Raw genomic sequence first — 18,549 nt, 5'->3', positions numbered from 1 at the left:
AAGTCATGAGGACAGTGTGGCTACATTTGAGTGAGAGGAACGTGAATGAGGTAAAGTTGGAAAGATGGGTAGAGCCCAGACTACATGCTACATTATACGCCATAGTAAAAATAATGGATTTTGGTCAATTGAAAGAGGAAGCCTTTGGAAACTTTTATATACCAGGGAATGTCTTGATGTAATCTAAGTGTGTGAAAGTCAATCTGAATGTTATGAGCTAATGGATCATAAGAAAGCAAGAGTGGAAATGTGCAAACTACTTAGAGGGCTATGATAGGTATCAAAGTGAAGGGGGCCTGTGGCTAGAACTAGTTGGAGGTAGTAGAGATGGAGAGAAGTGTGAGAGCCAAATATGCTTTGGAGCTAGAATAGGTAAGTATTTATGGATTTGTCTATGTCAAGTGTCTGGAGATGGTGGTAGAGCAAGAGAAATAAGGAATCAAAGATAATGTCTGATAATCCACAAATGGTAACATATTTTGCTGTAATAAAAAAGACCAAGAGAGGAATAGGGTTTGGGTGAGAAGGTTGTACTTCTAGGTTTACTTTAAACATTTAAGTTAGAGATGTCTAATGGACATGCTTTTCATCCATATCACTGATTTAAATCTTATATGTTTATTTGTGTAATTATTTGCTTATTGTAAAGTAAAAGTTTCTCAAGGCAGGGATCATGCCTGTTGTGTTGCATTGAGCCTTGCTAGCATAATGCCTGGCATAGAGCAAGCATTCTGGGAATTCCTTGAATACATAATACATAAGTGTGTGTATTAATGAAAAATTAAATGAATATTTGTGAGTAATTTTCCTTTGGTGATCATTTTTATCAAATAAACCAAGTTTTAACAGAAGATAGTTTCTACTTGCATAAGGATGAGCCAAGAACAATGAGATGTCTATAAAGAATCATGAAATGGGTTCATTTGCTACTTAAATCACCTGCTTCCACACAGCGGTTTTCTAGAGCAGTGGTTCTCAACTTTGGTGCACATCAGGTGCAACTGGAAGTTTTGTCAAAACAGGAATTGCTGGGCCCTATTCCCAGGATGTCTGATTAGGTAGATGTGGGATGGGGCCCAAGAATTTGCATTTCCACCAACTGCCTAGCTGATGCTGCTGGTCCAGGGATAATCACTGCTCTAGCAAGCAAAAGTTTTGAACCTGGGGTCCATGGATCCTTGGAAGAAGTCAATGATTGGGCTATAGGGCATTTGTATACATATCTTTGGGAGAATATATGCAGAGTTTTGATGTATAGGCTATTTAGCATTCTTCTAGTAATACAGTCTACATATTTTATTAGATTCTCCAAGAAGGCCACCAAAATGTAATTAATGTTATGAATAATGGTACTCAATCATGAATACATCAATCTAGTATGAATACATACTAGAATCACCAGGAATCTTGGCTCTTCCATTCAATTGCAATATAATTTCAGGCAAAATAACCTCTCTAAAAGGGGGATAATGATAGTATTTATTTCATAGGCTTGTTGTGGGGATCAAATAAGTTAATATTCATAAATCATTTAAACCAGTACCTAGCAAGTGCTAAATAGGCAATTGCTAAATAAGATTAAAAATCTGGGCATGTTTCAAAAGGCCAAGGCTCTACCCCTGGTGATTCTAATGTATAATCAGTGTTGAAAACCACTGTTCTGAAATGAAGAGAGCACAGTAGATCAATGAATGCCTTTCCTGAAAGTGTCTGGTTAATTTCTTTTCAGTGAACCAGAATTCCCTTCCCAGAGGAGCTTGGTGAGGAAAACTAGAGAGGGTTAACAAGAGCTTTAGCATCTTAGACAATAATTTATTTTTATAAAATTTCAAGAGTCATTTCTTGCTCACCTCATTTTCCTGTTGTTATGGGAAGGGCTGAGAGAAATGAAGCCGAAGGGAAAAAAAATGGTTTTATCCACACTGACTATTATTTTTGTTTAAAATCATCACAAACAAAAACCTGACCTAAAATAAGAATATGCTAATATTATACAGAAATGATCAGAAAGGCAAATACTAATTGTGCTAGCCAGCCTTCAAGATGACACCTGTATCCTTGACTCTTAGAGTTCATCACCTCGCATACTCTCTCCCACACTGAACAAGCTGAACTGTGCGACCAACGAGATATTGTAGAAGTGACTGAGTGTGGCTTCACAGTATAGATAATAAAGATGGCAGCTTCTGCCTTTTCTCTTGCATTGCCCACTTTGGGAAAAGCTAGCAGCTGTATCTTGGAGATGGTCAAGGAGTTTGTGGAGAGGTCCATGCTGAGAACAACTGAGGTCTCCTGCTGACAGCCCGCAACTACTCAACAGCCATGTAAGTATGTCACCTAGGAAAGCAATCCCCCAGCCCATCAGTTCTTCAACAACAGGAGCTACTTACGTATGTTGCCAGCCACTAAATTTTGGGATAATTCATTATATCATAATAGGTAACTGATACACTAACCCTAAACCTTATATTTTTTAGGTATCCAAGCTGAGAGTTTCTCTTTTACTATTTTGGTGCTACTGCAGGGGATCTGTTCATCTTATTCTTTTCTGACTCCTTAAGCACACCAAAAATAATTAGCTACTAAAACAATTAACTAGAAAGGGGGTATGTTGTAAGAGGGAGAGAGAAAGATCACCCAGTCTCAGCCTTTTAGTCTCCTGAGGCCTCATATAAGAGAGAAAGAAAAAAAGTTGTCATACTTGAGTGAGTACCAAGCTCAACAGTGAGAGACCAGCTGTATTCACGACAACACAGACTCTGAATTGAGTTAACAAGAAATTTAAATTCTAATACCATCTGAAACAAAAAAATGTGAGAAAGCTCAGTGTTTTCCAGGAGCACAGATGACCAGGTAACTTAACTAAATCCTTGAATGTCAGTGTCCACTGTTGTTCCTTATTTCAAAACCAAAGAGGCAGAATTATATGAGATAAAACTAGAATCTTAGAGTTTGAGTTCAGGCAGGGATAAAATACTCATTAAGGCCTTATGTTCTATTTATATAGTGACCATCTACTAATTAAAAATATCTAAACAGGTAAGTCTCCATATCCTGATTCTAATACCAGCTCAGTGGGCTTTTGGAAACTCATTTCCATTTACGTGAGATTCTGCTAAAGTTCACCATAGTATAATAGAAAGACAGATTTAAAAGTTATTGAAGTTATTAGCCATTGAACTTCTAATAGTATCAGAGCACCCAGCTGTGTGTTCAACAAATAGATTTGCCTATACTACAAGTGGGACCACATTCATAGCCTGAGAAGTTAGTTTAGTCCTGTTCTTTCCATTTGATTACTTTTTAAGTTGGACCAGAGAAAGTGGCTGACCAGTTAATTACATACCTACTCTGATGTATTCATCTCTATCAAAAGAGCATGGTATATTACTCAGGTAAACATATTTTAATTATCTTTTACTGAAATAGATAACAAAGTGATTTAGTAGATGGTCAAAGGTGTACCTAAATAATAGCATTACAAACAGTCTTAGATGTCTATTTTTCTTCTGTTATTTAGAAACCAAATATTTTAGTCAGCATGATTCTAGATTAATTATACAGAGCTTGCCTTCTCTATCTACTCCAGATATACAAAACAAGTAGTTTCAACTCAATTGCAAGGGAGGAGGGAGTGTGCGGGTTGGAAGGGAACTGCCAGTGGAGGAAACTGTGGAATGTGCTTACTATAAGTGTGAAAGAGGAACTGTGCTTCCAAGTTTAGGTCAATGGTATTAACACTGATGCTTTCCTTCAATGTAAAGATGAAAGGAGGCAAGAATCTCCTAAATTTCTGAGATACGTGTTTAGAGGTGAAAAGCGGATGCTAATTAGCTTCATTTCTTGCTCCCGTTTTATTGTCTTTTATGTTTATTCCCACATAGCCACTTCCAGCTCATCAGTGTATGCAGGATATATTTACCAAGCCCCCAACCCTCCCAGTTTTTAATTATAATGTGTTTATTTCCTTATTGTGATTTCAGATCTTTTGGAAGGGATAACCAGGATGCCCCAAATGCTTTAGTGTGTCTAATCTCTTCGAAAGCCCTAAATGCACCAGGTGCTCATAAGATATAGATAAAGAAGGGGCAGGGCAGACAGGGTGCGGGAAGAAACATGCAGAACAAGCAGTGGAAGGTGAGCCTAGAACACATCTGTCCACCTTGGTCTTGCCCTGCTTCTCAACGTCTATTCTCCCTGATCTCCATTTCCCCACTAAAACGACATAGGGGATTTAATGGAATATTTTTCGACTTTGTATTAGACAGTCTGACAGCTGATTTTTATTAACCAGTCTGTGAAATCTGTTTGATGGCTAAAATGTGGTTTTATCTCATAAAAGCAGCATTTTGCCATGTGTTCTGTGGGCTGTGTTTGCTAATGTAAAATAGATTGTTATATATTAGAAAGCCTTTGGGTAAGGATTGAGGCTAAAAGGCATTCTGATGAGCTAAAGCTTTACTATTCTGTTGTGCAAATATCAATATGGACAATTAAACTGATGAACAATGTACTTCAATATAGAAGGGACTAGAAAACAGCTACTTGGGACGTTGAGGCAGCAGAATGGCTTGAATCAGGGAGTCGGAGGTTGCAGTGAGCCAACATCACACCACTGCACTCCAGCCTGGTGACAGAGCTAGACTCCGTCTCAAACAAACAAACAAACAAACATACATAAAACATATAGGAAATTTTAACAATGTACAACTGCCTGGCTCTAATATAAATGAAAATAATTCTGAATTATGTCACTAATCTACTCATATATATTCATTTACACACTGCTTTAGTGCTCCTTAGATTTTCATGCAACCATTATTTATTGAGCAACTACTATATGCCAGGCTTGTGTTAAGGACTGACACATGGTTAACATAGTTCTTTTTTTCAAAAAGCTCTAATCTCATATAATTGAAAATGTCACTAGTAAGACCATCTATTCTACTAAAAAGCATTAAAACACTTTAATCTTCAAAATATATATGAAGTATGCTGAATCATAGTTAAATATGGAAAATACAGTTATGCAGAATTGTACCCAAGTCCCCAGTTAAATTTACTCTAAGACATAGATTTAGAGTAAGTTTTAAATTTACTCTAAAACTTAAATGGTAAGGTTAATTGTCAACTTTCTATAACATTTAGCTTATACATTATGATACAAAAAGGCAATAAATGTTTGAAAATGCACTGAGTTTTGTTCTACTCAAACAAAAGGGGAGAACAGTGAAACACAAAGGTGTTGAGCTCTTGGAATGTTCCCAAGGTCACACAGCAAAAGACGGTCACAAAATGATGTCTCCTCTACTGCCCTTGCCACTAATCCATTGAGTTGGGATTACCTGGTAAAGTTGGCAATTTATTTGTTCAACAAGTAGTTATTGAGTAGCTTCTATTTTCTAAACATCATTATAGGCAATGTAGATATGTTGGTAAAAGTCATAGACAAAAAAATTACATTTTGGTAAAAAAGACACATACATAATCAAATCAACAAACAAATAAACAAATAAAATCAGTTGTTACGCAGCAGATTAAAATAAGTTTATTCCTGGGAGCTACTACAGATAATGCGGTGAGGGAAATCTTCTCTGAGGAGGTGTCAGTAGCTGAGCCCTCCATGGCTGCTTATGAAGATTGGTGGGAAGAAAAATCCAGGCATCAGAGCAGCTGGCCAAAAAATCCCTCATGCAGGAATAAACTTTTACTGTAGCGAAGACAATAAAGGAATCAATGATAACCCGTAAGTGCTTAAGTAGCTGCATAAATGGTGGCACCAATAACTGCTATAGGGAACAGCAGAGAAGAGTCTGTTCTGACAAAGGAGATTAAGAATCTATACAGACCCTAAAAATCTTCAGATGCCTGATAGACTTTCAAGTAGGGTGGGGGGATGCAGAGTATAGGCCTAGGGTAGTGAACGCTCTCTGAAAAAAAGTTATTTGCTGAGTGGACTGGTAGTTCCTGTCTGATGTAAGAGAATCTTGGGGTCCCAAAGAGACAGTGAAAGCAGAGAGATGTAAAAGGATGTGGTTAGTAGGAGACAAAGATGGAAGAGGTAGGAAGGGCTGGGTCATTAATAAACTGTAGAAGAAACACCTCATTGCAAAGTAAGGAATTGTACCTCTGAGCAGTTCTGGTGTGATTTTAAAGATTAGATAAACCTCTCTATTTGTGAGTGGGAGAGCCTGACTTTATCACAAAACTAGATATTATGATCTATCTAGTACCTTTTTTTTCCAAATAAGAAAAACTGAATGTTCCCTCTGCAACCTGGTACAGGAAAGCTATTAAACATTAGCATGATAAACACGAACGCTATAAAACCTGTCTCACTCTCGCAACCTATTTTCCATATTGTAATCAAAATGATTTTTCTAAGTTGCAAATCTAAGTAAGACATGCACCTGCTGAAAATCCTTTATGGGACTTTGTTTCTCTCAGCACAGAGTCAAACTCCTCACGATGGCCCACAAGGCCCTGTCTGCTGGTCCCTGCTAATTTCTCCTGTCTTACTTCTTGCTACCTCTTTCTTGATCATTGGGCCCACTGAGTTCTCTCTTCTCAAATGCACCTTGTGCTTTCTCTAATTGCTAGTGCTCTGTCCTACCAAAAGCTCTTCTTACTCCTACCTATCCTTTAGGTCTTTATCAAAGTTACATTTTCTTAGAGGAAGTTCCCATAGTAAGCCTGCCTTGTCCCCTAGCCCCATGTCTGCTGTAGGTGCTTCTCCAGACACTCCGTCATCATAAGTCCTCACCACTCCACATTGCAACTGTTTGCATTCTTGTAGTCCTCCTCTGCAATCTTGATGAGGGTGGGGACCAGGGCTATCTTGTTCACTGTTGCATCCCCTACATCCAGTGCACCAATGGTCATTTAGTATCTATGGGCTCAATATATATTCACTGAATAAGTACAAAGAAATTTTTCTACTAGGTTGTTAGTTTCTAGAGGATAGTAACCAGGTCTATGGTTCTATCTCTAACTGTAAACACAATGAGGGTGCACAAAGAATATTTATAGAATTGTTTAACTTAGAGCTGTATTTCTCTTTTCTACACTGAATGATTTGTACTTATTCAGAGTGGAGTTTCGGGTGAAGACCTCTGCCATTGTTCTTGAGCAAACTTGGTAGGATTTTGACCCGCCTCCTGGTGGATACTATTTCCAAGTCCACGTAGACAAATATCTGGACTAAACAACTCATCCACCCCCTCAATATGGCCTGCTTTGGTAAATGAACTACCATAAAGTATTCTTGCATATGAGCATAATCCTATCAGTGAAATATTTTTATGATCCAAGAACTTAGACCATATAATTAAAAATGTATATACTTCTTTAGGGCTTTTTGAGTACTTTGAGACCTTATCTTTTCACCATACGGAAATAAGTTTTAGAACTAAACTGATCACAGTAATCAGTGTTTTAATGTTTCAATTCTCAACATTTAAAGCCAAGAACACAATATCACCATTTAACTCTAACATGTATTCGAATAAGTATAAATATTTATAATTACCTTCTAATGCATATTTCATATCCAGAGCAAAAAGAGTCCACATAATTTCGGCACTTATTTTTCCCATGTTCAGCTCTTGAGGAAACCTAAAACCAAACACATTGTATTAGTGTATGAAGAAGAAAAGCATGCCTAAAAACCAAAATACAGCATTTTACATATATACCACAGTAGTTATTACATAGTTCATAAATACTTTTATTTATGACATTTCTCTTTATGAACTTTCGTAAGTAAAAAAAAAAATGTTACACACTAGAGTTTAATGTTAAAAAGTTATTGGATGGTAAGAAAAGAGACTTCATTATATCAGTGCCAAAGTAATGGTGCCTGGGTCTCCCTGTGGATGTCTTGTGATGAGTGTTTGTGTCTCAAGAGCTCCTTCACTTTTATCGAAGACTCCATCTTCTTCTTTTTTTTTTGAGACAGAGTCTCACTCTTCACCCAGGCTGGAGTGCAATGGTGCCATTTTGGCTCACTGCAATCTCTGCCTCCCGGGTTCAAGCAATTCTCCTGCCTCAGCCTCCCAAGTAGCTGGGATTACAGGCGTGTGCCACCATGCCCGGCTAATTTTTTGTATTTAGTAGAGACAGGGTTTCACTATGTTGGTTCAGGCTAGTCTGGAGCTCCTGACCTCAGGTGATTCAACCACCTTGGCCTCCCAGAGTGCTGAGATTATAGGCATGAGCCACCATACCTGGCCGACTCCGTCTTTTTATGTCTCACTTTTGAGGATAGATCAGATGAAGCTGAATAGCAAACACCATATGACACTAAAAAATCACACCTCATATATGTCCCTCAGCCATTTTCTTTGAAGCACAATTAAGTACTTCTATTTTTTCTATTATCTATTATCTTCATGTGAATTATATGAACAAAGATTCCTCACTCCCTCTGGCAAAATGGCTCCTGGTGGACACACCCACTAATCTGTACTCCAGAACTTCCAGGCAGGTCTGTGTTTTAGACTAAACAAGCTTAGGTTAAAAACAAGATTCTGACTGCTTCTAAAAATTTATTTTGTTTGCATGTGTTTTCAGTCTCATGATAAGGCTCTTAATAATATAAGCCCAATGAATATGATGACCGAGTCTTTTTATTACAGTGTAAACACTCACTCCATGCCAGAATGTAAGACTAGAAGTATTTTCTCTCTATATATATACAGACTTGCACACATGAATAAAAATATTTATATCAAAGAACAGAGCTAGCTCTCACATTCATCCACATTTGGGGGTTCGAATAAAAAAAGAGTATAATCCTGTATGGAAAGTGTTACCTAAGGAAATATGACCTCAAAACAACCTCAAATAAGAAAAGACTATTGACACATACAGAACTACTCTAGTCCATATTTTCATCAAAATTAGAGTGTGTTGCATCAGTTTCCCTTACTGACTGCCAATTTTATCAATTTGTCTAATAAGGCATTCGATTTTAAAACTTAAATCAGAAGCTTTACATTTATCAAGTATTTAAGTTCAGAACTTTTCTAAAAAATTTAATACAATCTGAATACATATAAATTAGTTTTCAATATTAAATTTTACTTTACTGATATAAAAATAACCCTAGGCAAACAATTTATTTCAAAAGGTTTCATTTGAGCATAAATACTAGCATAACACATTTTGTAGTACATTAGATTTTATGTAATTAATATGCGGCATCAAAATTATAAGTGATATAATAAGAGTACTTTATGCTTATAAAAAGGCAAAATTGCTTAGCTATTTTAATTTATTTGAATCAAGAATAAGATTATGTTAACTTTATAGTACAATATACAAGAAACAAAGAACTAAAGAACTAAAACTAAAAACTAAAACACACAAAAAACTAAAGAATATCTCTTATAAACATAGATGTAAAAATCTTCAACAAAAAATACCAAATTTAATCTCACAATATATAAAATGAACAATACATTATGATCGAGAGGTTTATCCCAAAAATACAATGTTAATTCAACCTTCAAAAATGAATCAACATAATTTACCATATTGTTAGACTATGGAAGAAAAATTTTATGATCATCTCAATAGATGCTGAAAAGGTATTTGACAAACTTCAACATTCATTCATGATTTAAAATCCCTCTGAAAGACAGTAAAGTGAACTTTTTTAACCTCATAAAGAGAATCTACAAAACCCTACTGCTAAAATTATAGTTAAGTCTCACACTTGATACTTAAGGATGAAGATGATGATGTTGACTCTCAGTATTTCTACATAACATTGTGCTGGAGTTCCTAAATTCTGTTAAAATGCAAGAGAAATACATAAAAGGCATATAGATAGCAAAGGAAGAAATAAGACTTTTCACAGACAACATGGTTTTCTACATAAAAAATGGCATACTAAAAATTGTCTGCATAGAAAATGTCTAAAAAACTAATTTAAGAAGCTACAAAATATAAGGTCACAGAATATAAAATCATGTATTTTGGTATACTACCAATGAACTATTGGAAATTCAAATTAAAATAATAGTATCATTTATAATAGCATCTGATATGGTTTTGCTCCGTGTTCCCACCCAAATCCCATCTCAAACTGTAATCCCTACATGTTGAGGGAGGGATCTGTAATCCCCATGGGGGCAGTTTCCTCCATACTGTTCTCTTATAGTGAGTGAGTACTCATGAGATCTGATGGTTTTAAAAGCGTTTGGCAGTTCCCTCCTGTGCTCTTGCCTCTCTCCTCCTGCCTTGTGAAGAAGCTGCTTGCTTCCCCTCAGCCTTCAACCATGATTATGTTTCCTGAGGCCTCCCTCACCATGTGGAACTGTGAGTCAATTAAACCTCTTTCCTTTATAAATTACTCAGTCTCGGGCACTTTTTTTGTTTTTTTTTTCAGATGAAGTCTCACTCTGTCACCCAGGCTGGAGTGCGGTTGTGCGATCTTGGCTCACTGCAACCTCCACCTCCTGGGTTCAAGCGATTCTCTTGCCTCAGCCTCCCGAGTAGCTGGGACTACAGGTGTGCACCTTATAGCAGTGTCAAAATGGACTAATGCAGCATCAAAAGTTATTAAATACTTATAAATCTAAGATAATATGTACAAGATTTATATGAAGAAAACTATGAAGTATTGAAAAAAGAAATTAAATAAGGCCTAAATCAATATATTGTATTTACAGACTGATACACTCAGTAATGTTAGAATTTTATCTTTTCTCAAATTGATTCATAGATTCAATGCAATCTCAATCAAAATTCTAGCAGAATTTCTTGTGGAAATTAACAAACTGATTCTAAAATTGACATAGCAAAGTAAAAGCACTAGAAGAGGAAAAAATGTTTTTTTAAAAGTAAAGAACAAACATTACTTGTATTTGCAGCTTTCTATGAAAATATAATAATTTATACAGAATGTCTTCAACTACAAGACAAGAGTGGCTACTCTTACAAGAGTGGCTAATTTTCAACAATGTGTAACAGTATGTCAGTGAAGAAAGGACAGTCTTTTCAACAAGAGATGCTAAAATACTTGAATAACCACATGCAAAAAAGAAAAAAATCTTGACTCATACCTTGCAACAAATTAAACATTTAACTCAAAAAGGACCACAGACCAAAATGCCAAACCTAAAACTATAAAACTTCTGAAAGAAAACATAGTAGAAAATCCTTATGACCTTATATTAGGCAAAAATTGTCTAGATGTAACACAAAGGTGTAAACCCATAAAATAAAATATTGATAAATTGAACTTCATGAATTAAAATCTGATCTTCAAAAGACACTGTTGAGAAAACAAAAACATAAGCCACAAACAGGGAGAAAAAAATTTGCAAAACATGTGACTGATAAAGGACTTATATCAGGATATATACATTACACTAAAATCTCAATAATAGAGAAAAAACATTACTCAATAAAAATGGGCAAATGATTTGAATGACACTTCAGCAGAGAAAAAAATTAGATGGGAAATAAACACATGCAAATAGGCTCAACATTATTAGTCATTAGATATTTGCCAATAAAATTATGATGTGATACTACATGTCTATTAGAATAGCTTAAAAAAAACAAAAGGCAGAAGCCCACCAATACTAAGGGCTAGCAAACATGCAAGCATGCAGAGGAGCTGGAACTCTGACACATTGCTTTTGAGAATGCAAAATGTTATAGTTGTTTTGGAAAGCAGTTTGGCAAATGACATTTTTATAGAATTAGAAGAAAAATTCTAAATTCATATGGAACCAAGAAAGAACCCAAACATACAAAATAATCTTAAGAAAAAAGAACCAAGCCAAAGATATCACACTACCTAACTTCAAATTATACTACAAGGCTGCAGTAACCATAACAGCATGATACTGGCACCAAGAAAGACACATAGAACAATGGAACAGAACAGAGAGCCCAGAAATAAGGCCACACACCTACAACCATCTGGTCTTTCACAAAGCTGACAAAAGCAATGGGGAAACGACTCCCCATTTAATAAATGATGCTGGGATAACTGGCTAGTCACGTGCAGAAGATTGAAACTGGATCTTTTTCACCATATACAAAAATCAACTCAAGATGAATTAAAGACAATGTAAAACTGGAAACTATAAGAACCCAGAAGAACACCTAGAAAATGCCATTCTGGACATAGGCCTTGGCAAAGATTTTATGATGACCCCAAAAGCAATTGCAATGAAAAGAAAAATTGACAAGTGGGATTTAATTAAACTAAAGAGCTTCTGCACAGCAAAAGAAACTATCAACAGAGTAAAGGGACAAACTTCAGAATGGGAGAAAATACTTGCAAACTATACATCTGGCAAAGGTAATATCCAGAATCTGTAAGAAACTTAAGTCAACGTGCAAAAACAACAGGCAACCTCATTAAAAATGAACAAAGAACATGAACAGAGACTTCTCAAAAGATGACATACACATGGCCAAAAAGCGTGTGAAAAAATTCTTGATGTTACTAATCATTACGGAAATGCAGATCAAAACCACCATGAGATATTATCTCACATTGGTCAGAATGGCAATCATTGAAAAGTAAAAACATAACAGATGCCGGTGAGGTTGCAGAGAAAAGGGAACAATTATACGCTGCTAGTGGGAATGTAAATTAATTCAGCCACTGTGGAAAACAGTTTGGAGATTTCTCAAAGAACGTAAAATACAACTACCATTTAACTCAGCAATCTCTTTATTGGGAATATAACCAAAACAAATCTCTCTACCAAAAAGACACATGCACTTGTATGGTCATCACAGCACTATACATAATAACAAAGACATAGAATTCAACCTAGAAGCCCATACACAGTGGACTGGATAAAGAAAAGGTGGGACATTTGTACCATAGGATACCACACAGGTATAAAAAAGAATAAAATCATGTCCTTTGCAGCAACGTGGATGGAGTTGGAGGTCATCAGTGTAAGTGAATTAACTCAGGAACACAAATTAAATATCAGATGTTCTCACTTATAAGTGGGAGCTAAATATCGAGTGCATATGGACACAAAGAAAGGAACAAAAGACATTGGGACCTCCTTGAGGGTGGAGGGTGGGAGGAGAGTACGGATCTAAAAACTACCTATTGGCTACTATGCTTATCATCTGGGTGATGGAATAATTTGTATATCAAACCCCCATGACTTACAATTTACCCATGTAACAAACCTGCCTATGTACCCACTGAACCTCACATAAAAGTTGGAAAGAAAAAGCAAAACAAAAACCCCCATTTAAAATAAAACAACAAACTGGAAAAATATATACAGCTTATATAAAAGACAAAAAGAATATTATTAATATAAAAGGAACATATTATTAACATGTTAAAAATCTATAGAAGAAATGAAAGGAAAAGTGGCTGAGATGAAAGGGAAATTTAAAAAAAATCAAAGCCTAATAAACACAAGAAAGGAGCTGTTCACCTTAATAAGAGTAAAAATTTTTTACTTATCAGACTGGAAACAATTAAAAATTGATGAAAATTCAGGCTTTTGTTGAAGTTGATTTTCTCATAGTTATCTAATGACTCTCTACAGGACTTCAGTTCTTTTCTATACCAATATCTGTGTTGTCCCTATCCCCTTCTCTTGTCTGTGCCCCAGGAGTCCCCTCATTGGCTGCATCATCCTGATGTTAAATGATACCACGGAAAAATATGCAGCTATTGAAATGACCAAGGCAGATCTCTTTCAATTGACATGAATAGATGTCTCTCAGGCAGTATTAGGTGAATAAAGCAAATTATAGATTAGCATATAAAATATGATCGCATATTTCATAAAAAACACTATAGAAGCAAACATTATTAAATGAATTTCTATGTTTATATGTGTGAAAGATTAGCTGGAAGAAAACACACCAAACTACTGAAAATTTGTAAAGCTTAGGTTGGGGAGTCACGCTTTTAATTTTTACTGATTTACTTCACAGAAATGATAAATAAACATTAGAACTCTTATTTTCTACTTCATACAGCCTGTGAAGCTGAATAAGATTATTTTTGTAATCATATCATTTTTGAAATTCAATTTTGAAGTAGAATCAATCGGAGTTTTACTATATACGTGAGTTCTTTTAAAAGATGGATAATATTAATTTGTTTCTCACAAAACCCCTATTCAGTTGTTATTATTTCTAATTCAAAAATTGGTGGTCAGGAGTTAAGCACTGAGATCTTTCCAATAAAGAAAAAACAATATTCAATGAGTTTGTTTGATATTTAGAGGAGATGTAAAGGGAAATTTAATAACGTTCATTTTAGACTTAGTAACGTTAGAGATTAGGAAAGTGTACTAGAACATGAAATGAATCAAAGACAGAATCAGAAACAGAGCCTATGGTTCTTGCCCATGTTTTTTTTTTTTTTTTTTTTTTTTTTTTTTGAGGCAGAGTCTCACTCTGTCACCCAGGCTGGAGTGCAGTGGCGCCATCTCGGCTTACTGCAACTCCGCCTCTCGGGTTCATGCCACTCTCCTGCCTCAGCCTCCCGAGTAGCTGGGACTACAGGCGCCCGCCACCATGCCCGGCTAATTTTTTGTATTTTTAGTAGAGACGGAGTTTCACCGTGTTCACCAGGATGGTCTCGATCTCCTGACCTCATGATCTGCCCACCTTGGCCTCCCAAAATGCTGGGATTACAGGTGTGAGCCACCGCACCCCGCCCATTCTTTTCTTTTACAACAAAAAAATTCCCATGCATTGAAAATGTTTTCACAGTTAACTTTTTCTTTCTTTTTTGTTGGTATTAGGCTATTGGGTTTTTCCTCAAAATATTTACAGTTTAAATTATTGGCTTCATATTTTATGTAGTAGTCCCTCTTTAAATTTAAATCTCAAGATCTACTTCTTGCTAAGATCTGCTTCTATACCGAAAACAATATTTGGGGTCTGAGGTCTCATTCTGATCAGTTTTAGAAGTTTTTTTCCATTATAAAACATTATGATACACTGGTTTCAATTTTGGTTGTGCTATTACCTATAGAGATAATAGATATCCCATGATAGAAAATAAAAAGAATGCAAAGTTTCTTTCTTTAACAGTTACACAAGTTCTTCCGAAGCCTGTATTTTATTTTACTTTACCTCCACTCTATGGTACTTTTTGTACCTTTGGAAGAACTTTTCTTACTCTTTCTTACGTATTTCATAGTTAAATTAATGGCAATACTATTTAGCTAATGAATTTAGATAGCTACCAGAGTCATCCACCTCTGCCACGATCCACAGTGTCCCCTCCTTTCCACCCTCCTGGGAATTTTTTCTTTGGTCTACCTATGGAATTTGCCTCTCTCTTCCCTGTTCCTAATTCAAGTCGTTACCTTCATTTGCCTTAATAATTGCACTAATCAATTAGTTTATGCCTTTGCCTCTATTTTCCCTCTTCTGATACATCTTCTATATTATCACCAAATTTACCTTTTAAAAACACAGGCCATCATATTTCTAACTACTGCTTTAAAACCATAAATTGCTTGTCACACATTTATTAGCATATAATAGTTTCAATTCATTAATATGACTATCCTGCTCTGACCATCTGGCCCCAACTTTCATTTCTTTCACCTTCATTCCCCAACCCTTACTATGAATAATCTAGCTACCCCTATTATTTATTATTTCTTGACACGCCTGACATTCTATATATCTTCTGATCATTTTCCACCTTCCTGTTCTCTCTTCTTCTTAATTTCTATGAGATAATAACCTCTCTCTCTCCCTGGAAAGCACAGCTCAAGTATCACCTCCCTTTAAGTGTTCTGTTGTATTCAAGGCAGAATTAGCAATGATTAAATAGTTGTGAATGATAAGGGCAAAGAGAAGTGCATAGTGACTATAAATGGGTCTGAGCTCACTTAATATTAAGAATTAGTGACAGGATTGGTGCTTTTATACTGTGGAAATTCCATAATTGTACTCGTGACACAAGGTTTAACTGAACTGGCACAATGTTATTGATGTTTGCTTTGTAGTTCCAAACTGATGAAAATAAGGGGAATAACATTTTTTCTCTTTAAACAATTTTGTCTAGCATTATAAAACATTTCTCCTGACAGGATTTAGGACATGCTACCCCAAAATATGGCACCTTGGCAAATTGCATATTTCAAGTGGAAGGAATCTGAGAAATGGCACATGCAGTTAGGACTTTATGATTTTCCCCTGCAGCAAGACGTAAAACCTAGAAAGGATTTTCTGATCTTTCTCTGAAGCAGGAAATAAGATCCTTATGTGAGAGGTGCTGCTCCTATATCAAAAGGAAAGAAAGAAGCATCCTTATCGTTGAAGACAGGGATGTCAAAAGGAATGTGAATGAGCAGGCCTTGCTGCTTTTCCAAGTTTACTGTATTTATACTTTTCTGGGGGCTTCTATACACGTCCCCGCAATTCTCCACTTTTCGTCGAACCTAGCACAAAATATACTCAAATTTAATCATTTATTCAGGTCTTTATTTCCTTTGAAGTCTCCCGTGTCATATAAAGCTTATGTTAAATAAATTTGTATGCTCTTCTCTTGTTAATGGATCTTGTTATAGTGACTACAGCTGAGGACTCAGAGGATAGAAGGATAAGATATTCTTTCCCCCCCCACACTTCTCTCAACATAGCATCTCTTTACTGTAAACTAACAGTATTAATTACATTTACACAGTCTTCTCAATACCTACATATGTATATAATTTTTTCTCTCCATACTATTCAAACCATTTTAGCAGCCAGAATATAACTTAGTAACATTTGCAAAGCTAACAGTTTCCCAAACAATTCTTTATTATTTTCTGCCTTGTGGAAATAGGGGAGAAAAAATGAACAATTATGAGTAAAATACAGTAAGTGAAAGAGGAAAGCCGGTACTGGAAATGAAAGGAGAAACACTCCATTTTTCAGACAACATAGATTTTATCAATTTCTGGGTAACTAATGGCTACATTTTACGTTTCTAATTTTTAAGGGGCCACAAAATAATATTTCCATAATAGTGTTTTTTCACCATGTCTAACTTGCCTTTGTAGACTTGTAAATATGTAATCTCACTTTGACACTAAATTTTTTATTCGCTTTTTCTATGCTGTAGTCCCAGTATCAAATCATTATTTAAAAGGCAGAGTTTGTTTTTCTGACATTCCACAATTGAATACTTCTGCCTTTTGGTGGGGGCTACCTAAGGAGTCTATACCATCTGCATATTTGCTAGAGGCTTATTTTCCAAAATTTAACACATTTTTGTCCATTTCTTCTGCATAATACATAGCAGTATAATATAGAAGTTAAATAGCAATGCATTCCAAAAGACAGCAATTTCATTTCTCCTCTGCTGCTTAGCAAATTTACCCAGTGGAGCAGTGAGTAATCTCTTCAAAACTCCATTTTCTCACTTGTCAAATGGGGATGATATTAATTGTGTAACTTGGGACTGTTTCTAGGGCTGCTGTGAGGATTAAATGAGATTTTACATGTAAATATTTTGCATAGTCACTGGCACATAGTGAGTACTCAATAAATGTTTCCTGCTGATAATGATGAAATTCTAAGTATAAATGAGACAGACAGGAAAATATTATTTAGATTCCATTGATTTCTAACATAAAAATAATCACATAAAGTGAATGAAAATTTATATTTGTACTTACTAGGTATTTAGTCTGTAGGAGAAAATTTGTTAATAAAGTTAATAGCAATAAACTTGATTGCAAAGGAAAATGTTTATGTACTCACAGCACTGAATGGTTTTATGAACTTCAGAAGTACTGAGCTATACACTAACAATTCATACATTAACTACAAATAAATTCCTAACTGTGATAGAAGCAAAACTGAAAGAGGTTTACCTTTCCACAACCATTTTGTAACTTTGTAGAAATTGTCATACATACTTAGAAGTTAAAAGAAGTACACATAAATATGGTACATTAAATATTCCTATGTACCATATATATTTAAATTAACCCTTCTCACACTAATCTGAATTCATGAGGTTTTCTTGTGCACAAATTAAATTCTCTAAGGTAGAGCTCTACCTCTTCTTCATTTTCAATGCAGTCATAGCTTAACTTAATCTACCATCATAAAGAGGAGGTTTAATGAAATAACTGATCCATTCCACCATTATGTGACTGTCTCCTGTTTTTAATTTGCAGCAATTAATTAACAAAGCACAAATGTTTTAAATCTTGAATCTTATGAGACACAACAATTTAATAATCCAATTTATTATCTTGCAAATTTCTTAGTGAAATGAGGAAAACATAATCTGCCACTGCCAAATTTGATAATACTGATTCATCAGTCACAATGGATAAAATTAGAATCCATTAAATGAGAAGTATTATTTTGATATGCAAAGTTTGTCTTTGAAGAAAAGTAGGTTAATTATTACAAATAAGTAAGCAATGGTTCTCTGTAACTGCCTGTCGTGTATGCATCTGAAATTTCTTTGTCATAGCTAGAACTTAAGAGACAGTTTGTTGTGCCCTTTTTACATTATAAAACTTATTAAGCCTTTGTTAGTATGCTCTGCACTTAAGATGCTTGACATGT

General features: G+C 35.3%; 1 protein-coding gene across 7 annotated transcripts in view, besides 2 other annotated features; it reads right to left on the bottom strand.

Annotated features, from left to right (window-relative positions):
- The window catches only part of UNC13C (unc-13 homolog C), a 795,839-nt gene that overhangs the window by 210,845 nt on the left and 566,445 nt on the right, over positions 1-18,549 (bottom strand). For all 7 annotated transcript variants that reach the window (XM_047432538.1, XM_017022220.2, XM_017022221.2 and 4 more), the window contains one exon: positions 7,529-7,614. In XM_047432538.1, the coding sequence (XP_047288494.1) occupies positions 7,529-7,614 (86 nt within the window). The remainder of the gene's footprint in view (positions 1-7,528; positions 7,615-18,549) is intronic.
- Positions 12,973-13,142: an enhancer, noted in NCBI's record as "experimental_40016 CRE fragment used in MPRA reporter constructs". NCBI's record gives its function as "activates a minimal promoter by MPRAs in K562 erythroleukemia cells, with activity observed for both the introgressed and non-introgressed 15:54701737 or rs182198746 variant alleles {active_cell/tissue: K562}" and the evidence as "EXISTENCE:reporter gene assay evidence [ECO:0000049][PMID:34662402]".
- Position 13,057: a transcriptional cis regulatory region, noted in NCBI's record as "Neanderthal adaptively introgressed variant 15:54701737 (GRCh37/hg19 assembly coordinates) or rs182198746 in the experimental_40016 CRE". NCBI's record gives its function as "modulates activity of the experimental_40016 enhancer by MPRAs in K562 erythroleukemia cells {active_cell/tissue: K562}" and the evidence as "EXISTENCE:reporter gene assay evidence [ECO:0000049][PMID:34662402]".

This window comes from Homo sapiens, chromosome 15 (genome assembly GCF_000001405.40).
Source record: "Homo sapiens chromosome 15, GRCh38.p14 Primary Assembly".
NCBI lineage: Eukaryota > Metazoa > Chordata > Mammalia > Primates > Hominidae > Homo > Homo sapiens.
This window is presented reverse-complemented; position numbering and strand designations above follow the sequence as displayed.